The sequence below is a fragment of the Homo sapiens genome, chromosome 6, assembly GCF_000001405.40.
Source record: "Homo sapiens chromosome 6, GRCh38.p14 Primary Assembly".
Taxonomy (NCBI): domain Eukaryota; kingdom Metazoa; phylum Chordata; class Mammalia; order Primates; family Hominidae; genus Homo; species Homo sapiens.
The window spans coordinates 161,373,362-161,387,578 of record NC_000006.12 but is presented as its reverse complement, the minus strand read 5'-3'; the positions used below and the strand labels follow the sequence as shown (position 1 = coordinate 161,387,578).

The window sequence follows — 14,217 nt, the reverse complement described above, 5'->3', positions numbered from 1 at the left end:
CATTCTAATACCAATTAAACTTTGCTGTGGGTATTTATTTGCATTACTGTGTGTATTAGTCTGTTCTCACACTGCTATAAGGACATACCCGAGACTGGATAATTTATAAAGGAAAGAGGTTCAATTGATTCACATTTGTGCAGGGCTGAGTAGGCCTCAGGAAATTCACAATCATGGTGGAAGGGGAAGCAAACACATCCTTCTTCACATGGTGGCAGGAAGGAGAAGAATGAGAGCTGAGCGAAGGGGGAAGCCCATTGTAAAACCGTCAGATCTCGTGAGAACTCACTCACTATCACAAGAATAGCATGGGAGAAATCATCCCCATGATTCAATTACCTCCCACCAGGTCTTTCCCATGACACATGGGGATTATGGGAACTACAATTCAAGATGAGATTTGGGTGGGGACACAGCCAAACCATATCACTGTGTCTTCCACTAGACTGGAAACATCTTGAGGGAAGGAAATGTGACCCATCATCTCTGTAGCCCTGCTATGGTGCTTGGAACACTCTTGAGTAAAGAGTGAACAATCCCATCAAAACATAACTTGATTTCTCTTTGCAAAAAAAGTATTTTTATACAGAAACTGTTGCACAAGCCAGAGGAATGAATATAATGAATTTGGAAAAGGAAAAATGTGTTATTGCCAAATGCAACCTAATGTCCCTAATTAATGGATGTGTGTTCTTTTGCAGTTTGCCTTCTGCCGGGAATGTAAAGAAGCGTACCATGAAGGGGAGTGCAGTGCCGTATTTGAAGCCTCAGGAACAACTACTCAGGTACAGAATGCCCTACTCATTCCTCCAAGCAGGGCTCCGGATACAGTGGGGGACTGGAGCCGTTTCCTGGAGGTCATGGAGAGTTCCATTCTAAAAAAGCAAGAAGCAGACTGGTAGCTGACAGCCATGGGAATGGGGCCGTGGCTTCTCCCAGAATGACTCCCCTCCTTGGGGCACAGTGTAGACTTCCCAGTGGCCACTTGGGGCATGTCCAAAATAGCTTTTCCCTGGGCAGATATGGAACAGGGACAAGGCATGTGAGCATTTTCAAAGGAGTCCTTAGAGGGGAAATAAAACAACTTAACAGTGTCTAAATCAGAGAAATCCATACTAAGTCTACTTCAATGTTTTTAATGCCCTAGTTTAGAATCTCTGGTGAAAATACCTCTGTGAGTGGCATGTACAGAAAGATGACATTATGTAAGGATATCATTGTCCTTTAGCAGCATCATGCCCTATGCTAACTGGTGTTTCAGTCCTCATTAAGTAAAGAATGTGTTGGCCGAGCCTCACTCTCTAAGGTGCTATCTCAGTCTTAGGAAAGTGCAAATGCATTTTATTTTATTTATTAATTAGGATCAACCAAACCTTCAGGGAAAAAGAGTAAAAACGTCATCACAGTAGATGAATTTGCTCATTATTTTTCTCCCAATGTAGATGTTAACAAGGGTTTAAACACCAAATCTTTGCAAATAAATCCTTTAGTCATTGTACTGATAGGAACCTAGTAAACAGACATAGAAATCCCAGAATATTTTGATTTTACAATAGAGAATGTTAAAGATCTGAATGCTCTAAAATCAGAGCATGAATAAGTGTATCCCTATATGGAATTCTGCAGATGAGTTTATCCAATATTAGCATAACTAAATAAATAGAACTGGTGAATTTGGGTCTTCTCGTCTGCTCCTAAATTGCCAGCCATGAGCATATGAGTGGATTTAGGACTGAGTTGCCATTTCCATAGCCCAGGCAGCAAATGCTCTTTCTGTTAATTTTATTTTAGCTCAGGGACATTCAAACGCGAGCTTACCAGGTACTGACAGCAAAAGCAATAATGGCCCAGAGACCCCTGCCTCAGGACCGCTGTAATGGAGGCGGGTATACCTGAGGCTCTGGGAAACGGAGTTAGTCTAGCAATTTACATCCATATGCTCTGAGACTGCAAACATGGCAGAGGCTTCCACAAAGTGATACTCTGGCATCTACAGTATTTATTTGGAAACAGTAGCTGTAAGGGAAAGAAGAGCATTGCTTAACCTAAAGCCATCCAGGCGCCTGACCCTCCCTCTAATCCCATTCATTCTTCAGTCAAGAGGAACCATCCAGCCTTGGTGTTAAAGATTAAGGTAGCCCAAATTAAATGTTTTTAAATTGTTAAAACCTTAATATTGGATTCAGAAAAATAGGAAAAAGAAAGTTAGAGATGACCTAAACCATAGATGTCCAGCATCGGGGGAACTGTGTCTGCAAATAGTGTCAATTAGCAGACATTAAGTTGAGCATTTGGGTGGGTCAAGCAGCTGCTAGACTCTCTAGAAAAATGCATTGAAAAGTATATTTCCCGGCCGGGCGAGGTGGCTTATGCCTGTAATCCCAGCACTTTGGGAGGCCGAGGTGGGCGGATCATGAGGTCAAGAGATTGAGATCAGCCTGGCCAACATGGTGAAACCCCGTCTCTACTAAAAATACAAAAATTAGCTGGGTGTGGTGGCGTGCACCTGTAATCCCAGCTATTCAGGAGGCTGAGGCAGGAGAATCGCTTGAACCCGGGAGGTGGAGGTTGCAGTGAGCTGAGATCGCACCACTGCACTCCAGCCTGGTGACAGAGTGAGACTCCATCCCCACCCCCTCAAAAAAAGAAAAGAAAAGTGTATTTCCCTTTAGAGGCTCATAGGGGAGCCATGGGGGGAGATTTACTGGAAAATGAATATCGTAATTACAGTAATATGCTAAACCAAAGCTTAGCAACTCTATAGCTTTATATAAAACACTTCCAGGTTTCCCTGGAAAAGTCACAGAAGATGGGTCAGAGTTGGTCAGGACAGCAGGATGGTGTGGTAAAGGACATTCCAGCAGAGGGTGCCACATGGGCAAAGTTGCAGAAGCCAGAACCTCTTCAACCAGACTGTGTCCTCTGTTCCCCTGTGTCTCCAGGCCCAAGATGACATCTGCTGCACAGACATTTAATAGATGGTTTGTTGAGTGATGGCAGCATCTATAAAGAAAGAGACATTATTTCATTTTTTTTGAACCAGGGTCTCACTGTGTTGCCCAGGCTGGGGTGCAGTGGTATGATCTTGGCTCACTGCAGACTCCTTATCCTTGGCTCAGGCAACCCTGCCACCTCAGCCTCCCAAGTAACTGGAACTGCAGGCACATGCCACCACACCAGGCTACTTTTTGTATTTTTTGTAGAGACAGGGTTTCAGCATGTTGCCCAGGCTGGGGTCTTGAACTCCTGAGCTCAAGCAAGCCTCCCAAAGTACTGAGATGACAGGCGTGAGCCACTGCGCCCCATGAGACATTATTTCATTCATTCAACAAATATGCATTAAACACCCGTAATATGTTAGGCATGGTTCTAGGCCCTCGGGACAAAGAGTAAGACAACGTCCCTGCTCCCATGGAGTTTCTACGGCTTCAATAGATGCCACAGAGGTTGCACAAGCAACTGACATGATAGGAATTCTGAGGAGGTATAGTTAATCCACATCAGGGTCATCCCAGAAAGAACTCAGGATGAAGCAGCCCTGCAGTTAGACCCCCCCAGGAGATGAGGCTCTTCCTGCTTCTGGTTCCTGATCACAGGGCCAGCCTCCAATTCCTCTTATTTGAAAACAAAGCAAACCAACCAGCCAAACTAAAAAGATGTCTGCTGGTGAACAGTTGCCAGACAACGGAAAGCAACTAATTGGGGTCTTTGCTGCCATGTTTTCCTACGTCTCTGATTCGGTCAGGGTCCCTCGGGAGAGAGAAGCCAACCCAGATGGGCACAGGAGGAGATGTTAATGAAAGGGATGACCTGCAGAGGCGGGCTGGGGACACAGGAACCATCACAGGGCTGAGGGCCTCAGAGCGAGCATCACTGGGGAGCCATGACCACCCCAGGCCTGTAAAGGCAGGGGGAGGAAGAGTCCCATGAACCCCATGAGCTGCAGCCATGGAGAAGGGGCCTCATGACAGGAGGTGTCATCACGGAGCATCCAGCGTTGCCTGGAAGTAGCCCCACACAGGAAGGGAGTGAGCATGGACATCTTGCCTCCTGCCTCCTGCCATCCGATCTCTTGCTAATGTCTCCCATGGGCCATACCCCACCGAAGCCAGACACAAGGGATCCTAGGGGCACAGCCCATGGGAGCCAGCCTTCCAGATGCAAAGCAGAGAGGGGAAAGAATACAGAATTACCAGCACCTTCTCTATGAGCGAATTTACCAATCTTCCCAAGTTTCCTTATTTCAACCATAGCTGCTTTTGGATGTGGGAAGGCACGAACCAAACAAGCTATTTCTTCAAATTTCATGACCCAATTCGATTTGATAACAGAATGAAGGGCTTTTATTTTCATAGAGCTGGCTTATTTTCTGTTCCCTACATTTCTCTCAAGCAGCATGGTCTCCAGGAGGATGACCTCTGCAGTTTCATTGACCTGAAATCTTTGAAAGGATGACACTCTACACATCTCACAATGAAAGCCCAATTGCAGCCTCCCTTGGAACCGAAGGCTTTAGATGTGTTCTCACATCTGAATTTTGCTAATAATAACTAAATACCCTCATCAGCCCTCTTCACACTTTCTTTCAATTCCATTCAGTTGCAGGGTTCTTTGCTTTGAGCCATTTGTGACTCGTTTCTGCTGTTCTTCCCTTTAGCATTGATTGGTTTCTGTTCTTGCACATTACATGCTCCAGCCAGGAGAGCCCATTTCTCTTGAGTCCCAATCAGCTTTTCCTATCAGTTAGACTGTTGGACCTAAAACTTAATGTATTTTTTGATTAATGCAATAATTCTTTAAAGCAAACTCAAAAATTGGCTTTAAATTGGTTTTAAAATATTGAACAAGCTTTACGTTGAAACTGCTGGGAGTTTGGGAAAGCAGTGACAGAAGATCAATCCATCACAGACTAACGAGAGTCCAGTCCCGTTTGCTTTCCTTGTTTTTCCCTGCTTGTTCTCCTCCCCGTGTTCCAGTTCCTTCCGCGTATTGCCCCTGGAGGCTTGCTAATAACTACACACTTGCTCTTGCAAAAGCCACATAAACTGGTTCTAGGTAGTTGATGTTCCTCTCCCTATTCAGCAGGAGTGCAGACTGAGACTTCCAGATTTTTAGTGGTGCTCTCTAAAGCCGCAGAAGAGATCAATTTCAGTGGCTATACTTTACCTAAGTAGTTGGGGATCAGCAACTGCTCTCTCTAATAGATCTACAGTGTCTGAGGGGAATGTGCCCATGCCTGCCTACCAACCATGCCTCCTGCTCAACATTCTAGGCCCAGATCATGTTACCTCCTCCCAGAAGCCATCTGCCCTCCCCACTACATCCTGTAAGCTTTCAGACAACTGTACATTCTGATACATTCGTCACTTGAAATATCGTTTCTCTGTATCTTCACAAAAAGTCTGGGCTTTGTTTTGTTTGTTTGTTTGTTTGTTTTTGTTTTGATTTTTTTTTTTTTTTTTTTTTTGAGATGGAGTCTCGCTCTTTCACCCAGGCCGGACTACAATGGCGCTATCTTGGCTCACTGCAAGCTCTGCCTCCCGGGTTCACGCCATTCTCCTGCCCCAGCCTTCCAAGTAGCTGAAACTACAGGCACCTGCTACTGCACCCGGCTAATTTTTTGTATTTTTGGTAGAGACGGGGTTTCACTGTGTTAGCCAGGATGGTCTCAATCTCCTGACCTCGTGATCCACCCGCCTTGGCCTCCCGAAGTGCTGGGATTACAGGCATGAGCCACTGCGCCCGGCCTAAAAAGTCTGGGCTTTGTTAGTGGAGGGTTTGTGCCTGTCGCATCCTGTATCCTGCAGTGCCTGGCACAGAGTAGGTGCTCATTAAGTGTTTGTTGAATGAATGACAAATCCCTCCTTCATCCACACACCTCCCTCCCTACCATGAAGCTGGGTAAGTACAGGAAAAGAATAGACAGTAGCTTCAGGGCTGGATTATGTCTCAGTAATCTTTTGAATCATAAAAGAAAATTAGATTTCCACAGTAAACCTCAGTTCCTTCCATCTGCCTCCTAAATTAGAAAAATAAACCCACCATTTGCTTGGGATAAATATAATAATTTGCTTGGGATATGCACTTGTATCGTGCTTGATTACAAAGCACTTTCACGTACACCATCTTATTCTGAGGCTTATCTCAAGTTTTTGTGATAGATTTTGTCCATAGGCAAGGGAGAGGGAGGGAGAGTGGCCACCCAGGGGCATAGAGTTGACAAGCCCCAGACCATTATTTTACCCAGGTCTTTGGGAGCTGCACCAGCCAGCACTGATGACCACTCCAGTCCCAGTGAAGCAGAAATGCGCTTCCATTGTTCTTACTGGTCACTCTGCCTTTTGAAAGAGGGGGATGAGTGGGCTGTTGTTGGCTTGTCAAACACAATACCAGGGATGGCCAACTCAAATGCCAACAGCAACACAACCCTTAAATGAGTGAGGCAGAGTTGAAGCCTGCTTCATGGACCTGTCAATATTTTGATAAGGATGCAAAGATAAATTTCATTTTCTTCTGCTTTTCCTATTAAAACAAACAGAACAACAAAAACACATCAACACAAAAGCCTGCAAGCATAATGACACATAGCCCCATGCTGGGGCGGGTGGGGGTGGTCTGTGGCAAACTGGAGTGGGCATGGCTTGTTGTGGGGTGTTGGGGAGACACCTGCTACACAGCTCCCCAGTTCAGGTCCATGTTTACCCAGCAGAAATGTGAGCCCAATGGTACCAGGCCTTCCAGTGTGATTTTGTGATGTCAGTAGCATAAAATCCATGCGTTTTTGTTAAATATCTTTATTTTTAAATGTTGAGAATTAACATTTTTTTAAATCTTAAACACATCTATAAGTGGAATTTTGGCTGCAACGTTGTGTTACACTTCCTACATTATGTGCCTTTGAACCTCATTTCAACTGTGAATTTCTTATAATTAGTGGAAAGAAGGAAGAAGAAGGATGCTCAGTACACATTTATAAAGCACCTTTTATTACCACGCATAGTACTAGGCATTTTGGATACAACATTAAAGATAGACTTGGTGGGAGGCTGAGGCAGGAAAATCGCTTAAAGCTGGGAGGTGGAGGTTGCCACTGCACTCCAGCCCAGGCAACAGTGCAAGACTCTGTCTCCAAAAAAAAAAAAAAAAAAAAAAGATAGACTTGGACTTTGGACTTGGCCACTGTTCTCATAGGGTTTGTAATCTAGTGAAGTAGAAAAACAGTTTGACAAATAATTAAAATGTTGTATGCTAAGAGGCACGAGAGAGTGTTCAGGATGCTTTGGAAGCATAAAAGTGGGACCTGGCCAGTTCTCCACGGGGTTGGAGGAATTGTTCATTGAAAGAAGTGAAATTTGAGACCTACAGGGATGAGCTCTTCAGGCAGGGAAGGAACTTATGGGTGTCCTAAGCAAAGGGACAGGGTGTGTAAAGTTCTGGAGATGAGCATGAATGACACGTTCAGGGAGGTGGAAGACACTCCCTTGACTGTGCCATAAAGTGATGGTGGCTGTGGCCACAGACTAGGCTGGAGACGGAGCCAGGAAATGAAGGGCCTTATCAGCCACAGGCAGGAGCTTGGGATTTAGGGCAGTGAGAAGGCATCTGGAGATTTTTTAAAGATTGACGTCATCAGATGGGTGCTTTCGAAAGATCTCTGGCTGTAATATGAAAAACACTTAGTAGGGAATTGTAATAGTACATGTTTTCCAGGAAGAAAACCCTGAGCTGCTTGAGATTCGAGTGCAGACTGTGTACTGGAGGATGCTGTGGGGAATCGCATGAAGCAGTTTGAAGGAAGGCTGAACTGCCGTGCAGTTGCCACAGCAGGTCCTAGAAGGAGCTCTGGAGCTGGATGAGCCTTCTGAGTTGTTGTGCATGGACACAGAGTGGTCAGGCCTTACATCCCTATGCATAGACCAGGTTTTCGATGTGGGCTTCCCGCAGAAGGAAGAAAGGCTTTGGGTGAAGCAGCTTTCTTCAGCTGGGGGCACTTCCCGGGTAGAGACTTGGCAGAGAGCTGTCTGCTGCGGACATACCCAGCAGCAGGGATATCAGTCCTGGAGGAGGGGTCTGGCCAGCCTCACAGCATCTGCTGTCGTCTGCCCCTTGCACTGCCTGGAGACATTTGCTTGTGGAATGAGAGAGACTGGAGAAATGTACAAATGGAAGGTTAGCAGGGTAAACTATATGTAGCTCATGCTGCCACAGCTGGTCTTGAAGTTGCAGCTGACTCCCATTGACTTCCTTCTCTCCTACTCATTCTAGATTCCCCTCGCCCTTAGAGAAGACCTCTAGGTGGCTTACCTGGTGGGGTGACACAGACATCATCCCTGATGGGTCCAGGCTCCTGGGTGCCATTCTAAAGCCATGACTACTGAATGATTTGCTATCAACATTGGGCAGGGGAGGACCAAGAGATGCCACAGTGAACCACCTGGGTGCCAAATGCATTCTTCCCATTTAAATACCCCATTCTATAACTGCAGCCCTGCCTGCTCCTGAGAGTCAGTTACCCCTTCCAGGATGGCAACTCCCTTTCTAGCCTGCTAATCCCTTGGCAATGCAACATAAAGTGACCAGAACTCTTGCTGTGTTCTCTGGCAAAAGTACTCTCTTGCTGGAAGCCAGGGCCCCTATATATGCAAGGCCAGGTTGCACAGATGGAGAGCATAAACTCCAAGTGGACCACTGGGAGTGAGAAGTGGGGCCGTCCCTACTTCCACCCCTTGATTCCTGAACCATTGCGTTCTACCTGCTGGAGACACACCCTGCACCATGGTAGTTGTTGATTCAGAGTGTAAATCTCACCTTAGAGGATAGCGCCCACATCACAGTGCAGCTCCAGCGGCATCGTGCAAGCCTGGTCCATCCGTCTCATCAGGTCAACAGCTTCTGGGCAGTAGGATGTGTGACAGGACCAGTGTTCCCATGGGTATGCACCCACTGGGACACAATGCAGTGCCATGCAGGGTGCCGGCAGCCTGCAGATGCTAGTGCTGGCTGAGGCTCTGTTGCCAAGAAAGGCAAACCCACACCCAGAAAAGGAGTCACTTCCTGTCAAGATGGAGTGTCTTCATCTTCCCTGGTGTCACTGTGATCCACCTGACACCCACTGGCCAGTTAGTTGGTCTCCTCGAGGAGTGGAGGACACACAGGACTCCGTGCCGCTCTTTGTTGCCGGCAGGTTGAATGTTGGCGGTGTGGCAGATGGGGGGATGCCCGAGCTGGGGGGCCTGGCAGGGCTTCACCTCACCACCACGCTTCCTCCACACGGGAGTGCCCTGGCCCAGGACTGCTGTGGCCAGTGGCGGAGGCTGGCAGTGGTCCACTGGCCGGATCCCTCCATCTGCTTGTTGAAGTGCTCTCCTGTGAGCTCTGCCATGCTGTGCAAACATGCGGACATGTCCTGCCCCTCCCATGGGTCTGTCCACGTGCCTGCTCTGCAGAGCTCCTTGTCTTACCTGTCCTCAGTCTTCCAGATTTTCTCTGTCCCTGCCCTTAAAGAGGCTGCCAAGACGTTTGCCACTGCTTAGGAGCTTGTATCTCTTCCTAACTCAGGACTCTTTCCTTTCCACACACAGTCCACTGTCAGCTGCTGCCTCATCTGTTTGGGCTGCTGTCACTCAATACCGTAGACTGGCTGGCTTATAAACAACACACATTTATTCCTTCCAGTTCTGGAGGCTCAGAAGTCAAAGATGAATGCACTAGCAGATTTGGGGTCTCATGAGGGACCACTTTTTGGTTTGTAGATGACGTCTTCTAGCTATACCCTCACATGGTAGAAGGGGCAAGACAGCTCTCTGGGGCCTCACAGGATGAGAGGTGACTGGTTAATGCCCTCTCTTTATAAGGGCACTAATCCCATTCCCGAGGGCTCTGACTTATGACCCAATCACCTTGCAAAGGCCTCACCTCCTAATCCCACCGCCTTGGTGATTAGGTTTCGACATAGGAATCTGGGGAGACACAAACACTCGGACCATAGCAGTTGCGTTGCCCAAGGCTCTGCTTATTGACAGGGTCTCCCCTCACCACTCTTTCAACCCTAAAGAGGATTACAGGATAGCGACAGTGCATTTTTGGCTTGCAGCCGTATGTTAAGCTAACTCAATTGTGAACCAAGCTTGGATCCCTCAGTGTGTCATAAGGAATCTCCCCAGCCCGGCCACTACCACCGTGGGGCCATGGTTGTGAGCCCAAGGAGAGGCAGTCATGCCACGGTGTGGATGGCACGGGGGTCTGAGGACCTGCTTGTGCAGCTCGCTCACGCCCCGTGGGCCTGCTTGGGCCTGGGCCTAGATGCCCCACTTCTGTCTTATGACAATTGCTGCACAGATGCTCCAACTCCACAGGGCTCGGTAGCGTGCCAGGGGCTCTCTTTCAAATGGTCCATCGTTCTCAGCTGCTGAACCCCCAAAATCTTTGCTGGGATGCTCTTATTGGCCCGCAGGTAGCCCCACGTGACCTCTTTTCCCTCCACAGACACCTGGAATCCACAGGGTCTGCCTGCGTGCACAGCCGCAGAGACAGGGCGCTTGCATGCCGCCTGACCCTGCCCTTTGCTCCTCGGGGCCCCACTCAGAGCTTCCAGCACTTTCTTCCAACAGTGACAGGCTCCTCTTTGGCCACTGGCGGGAGGGATTCCAGCTCTAACTCCATTTTAGAGTTTGCTTCCTAGGACTATCCAGGCACCAAGTGCCACAGGTTATAGGTTCCCAGGAGAACAGGCTCTGAGACTTGCAGGCAGGGAGTGTCTTGGGGTGCTCTCAACAGCACCTTCAGGAAGAGAAGGAAGCAGGGTTGGGCAGAGGTGGAGTCCCACTGCAGTGCGGTTGCCACAGAAGACTGAGGGGAGCCAGAGGTAGGAGGCTAGAGGTGAGCCCTTCGCATCCACCCTCCACCACTGGGCGTGAGCTGCCCTATCGCCGTGATGTGACGGTGTGACCTCAGTCCCAAGGTGGTGGGACTGGGAGCAGAGCAGAGCACCCCCTAAAAGGGCCAAACCAGAGACACACCAGGCACCAGGAATCCGGCCAGGGAATACAGAGGAGGGGATGGGCTTGAGGTCGGATCTGCAGAACTTGGCAGTGGATTAGAAGACAGGATGAGAGGAGACGGGTTAATGTTGATGCATGAATGTCTAGCTTAGAACGATGGTGGTGCCATTGGCTGGAAGAGGAGACAGAAACAAAAGCAGGTTGTTCGGGGAGACACACATTCATTGTGGACATCTCAGCTAGGGGTTCAGTGGGGAAAGGAGTGGATGCCTAGACCACCTCAGAGGAGAATCCAGGCTGGAGCCAGCGATCAAGATGCAAGACTGACAATCTCCAACGAACTGCCCCTTATCCATGCTCCCCACACCCACACCCACCCCTTCAGAGTTACAGTCCAGGAGAGGCTAGGAGGTGCACCTCCCTCAGTGGAGGACACTGAAGCAGCAGTGGCTCCAGGGAGCTGAGATCTTTTTTGATCTATTTTGCCCCAGCATCTCACCGCAGAGCCGTCTCTCAGCCATTGACTGCCTTCACACACAAATGCAGTCCCAGTATTGGGAGATGGGTGTAATTTATTATTCCCGGAGATCTAGATCCCCGGTTATTTGGGAGTGTATTTTCTGAACTGCTTGTTGGTTTAAGTAAAGCAGGTTTGATGCCACTTCTCTTGAATCCATGACCCTGGACCCGCCGCCTAAGTGGATGTGCAGATGGGATGGAACGGCTGCGACAGATCTCCATTAAAGCCAGCGCGTCGTTCGGGCTCGGCCTTGCGCTGTGAAAAGCTGAGTCAGTGCCAGGACAGCACCCGCCCCTCTGCAGTGCGTTTCCAAGGCACTCAGCTTGTGTGCGAAGGTTTGCTCTGGGGCAGCAGAAATGGCCCTTGGCAGGTCGTCAAAGGCCCGGTTTCATTTCCTCCTCTTCCAGGCAAGTTGCTCAAAGGCTCACAGCCTTTTCGTCGCCTGCCACACAGAGCCAGTAAGATCTACCAAGCTATAAATAATGAAATGAGTGTGTGTTTCGCCGTTTGTAAGTTGCAAAGTATTACAAAATGGTGAAACTTGGGGGTTTGGGTTTTTAAGGCTGAATGCTAAAACTGTCAGGCACTGTGGAGAGAGGAAAGGAAAGATAAGATTGACTGGGATTGAAAGACAAGTGAAGGCATGCTTGCGTGGGTACACACACAGTGACACCACACGCCTGCCCCTGGAGGCCGATCCTGACCATGCAGACCTGGGGCTGGGGCTCTCCAAGCGCTCTCCTGCACTGCAGAAACCCTTCTTCTCTTCTGGACTGTCACTCCAGCACGGCAGAGCACCAAGGCTCTGCAACGCACTTCCCTGGGGTGCAGCTTCCGGCCAGGGGCGTCCTCCCTCTGCAGGAGCCTCAGCACCCCCGGGGGGTTCCCTCCACCCCCAGGAGTTCTGCCTTGAGGGGCATGGCCTGCGGGTCCCCTGAGCTCGCTCACCTGTGGGGGTCACGGCCTGCGGGTCCCCTGAGCTCACTCACCTGTAGGGGTCACAGCCTGCGGGTCCCCTGAGTCTTCCTCTGCACGGCCACAGTGCAGCCTCCACCAGATGCCTGCCTGGCCTGACACATGGGACCCTCCTCTGAAAATGATGCTGTCCTGAAGGCTTTTGGATTCCAGAGGGGTTTCAGGATCCCAGCAGAGTTGGTAAAAAAGGTCTGAATGTAAATTCTGAACCGACTTTGCAAGTCTATACCCTGTATACCCTGTGTACTAGACTCCATAAACAAGCAGCTAGAACAAGTTCGCAATGTGGAAAATATTTTTATAGAAACTTATTGTCACAGCTACACACCACACACACACACACACCACACATATGTCACACATGCCACACACATAAACATAACGCACACATCACACATACACACCACACATATATAACACACATCACACATACACACACACCACACATACATCACACATGCCACACACATACACACATACACACACCACACACATGCACCACACACCCATTACACACACCACACACACATCACACACCACACACATGCACCACACACCCATTACACACACCACACATACATCACACACACCACACACACCACACACCCATCACACACACCACCCATATGCACCACACACCCATCACACACACCACACATATGCACCACACACACATAAACATACACACCACATCCACATACACCACACATACACAACACACACGGCGCACACATATACATAACATGCACACCATGCGTTACACACACAACACACGCGCACCACATATACCACACACACATACATACACACCACACACACTGCACATACAGCATACGCATATACACAACACACATACACACAGAACACACACCACACACAGATACATAACACTGCACACACTCGCCACTCACATACACACCGCATACCCCACGGGCATTTGGAGCTCCTCAAAGGAAAGCGCCCCTGGCAATTCTCTGCACACCCCACTCAGTATCAGGAGGGAAGCAGCTGCAGTGCGCCTCTGATGCACCAGATGGCGCTAAACCCTTAAGGAAAATGCTGGATTTGTCCAGAAACAAAAATAAAATGACCTGGGGGAAAAGGGAGTGAACGCCACTTTGAAAGGCACCCCAGCCACGCCTGCATAGTGGCCCAGCCGACAACAGGCAAGAGGGAATCGAAGGACTGTGTCCCCAGGAGGAGCATTTCTGAGAGGTGTGCAGATTTGAAAAGCTAACAGCTGGATCCTGGCCCCCATAATTCCTTCATTAAAAACGGGGCTGGCAGGGGGGACAAAATATTGTCACTCCACAGAAAAGCATGTTGACCATGTGTGAGGAAAACGGTTCACCTGCTCTACACTTGTTCCTTGCAAGCACAGAGGCATAGCCCGTTTAAACTCAGCACCCCGCAAGCACAGAGGTGTAGCCCATTTAACTCATCACCCCTGCAAGCACAGAGGCATGGCCATTTAACTCATCACCCCTGCAAAGCACAGAGGTATAGCACATTTAAACTCAGCACCCCTGCAAACACAGAGGCATAGCTCGTTTAAACTCAGCACCCCTGTAAGCACAGAGGCATAGCCCATTTAGGCTCAGCACTGCTGTTCTCCAGGGTTGCATTTACCTTCTTTCAGCAAGGACTAGGTGTTCCCACCCGTGTCTGAGGAATCCAAGACAAGCAGAGGGGGCTTGAAGTCAAACAGATCTAGTCTTAAAC

General features: G+C 48.8%; 1 protein-coding gene across 6 annotated transcripts in view, besides 2 other annotated features; it reads left to right on the top strand.

Moving 5' to 3' along the window:
• PRKN (parkin RBR E3 ubiquitin protein ligase) overlaps positions 1–14,217 on the top strand; it is a 1,380,350-nt gene that overhangs the window by 1,340,188 nt on the left and 25,945 nt on the right. For all 6 annotated transcript variants that reach the window (XM_024446449.2, NM_013988.3, XM_011535863.2 and 3 more), the window contains one exon: positions 702–785. In XM_024446449.2, coding sequence (XP_024302217.1) covers positions 702–785 — 84 coding nt within the window. The remainder of the gene's footprint in view (positions 1–701; positions 786–14,217) is intronic.
• Positions 11,862–12,402: an enhancer, noted in NCBI's record as "H3K4me1 hESC enhancer chr6:161796209-161796749 (GRCh37/hg19 assembly coordinates)". NCBI's record gives its function as "activates a minimal SCP1, AML or CMV promoter by ChIP-STARR-seq in naive H9 embryonic stem cells {active_cell/tissue: H9 hESC(naive)}" and the evidence as "EXISTENCE:reporter gene assay evidence [ECO:0000049][PMID:30033119]".
• Positions 13,597–13,746: an enhancer, noted in NCBI's record as "active region_25413". NCBI's record gives its function as "activates an Ori minimal core promoter by ATAC-STARR-seq in GM12878 lymphoblastoid cells {active_cell/tissue: GM12878}" and the evidence as "EXISTENCE:reporter gene assay evidence [ECO:0000049][PMID:35858748]".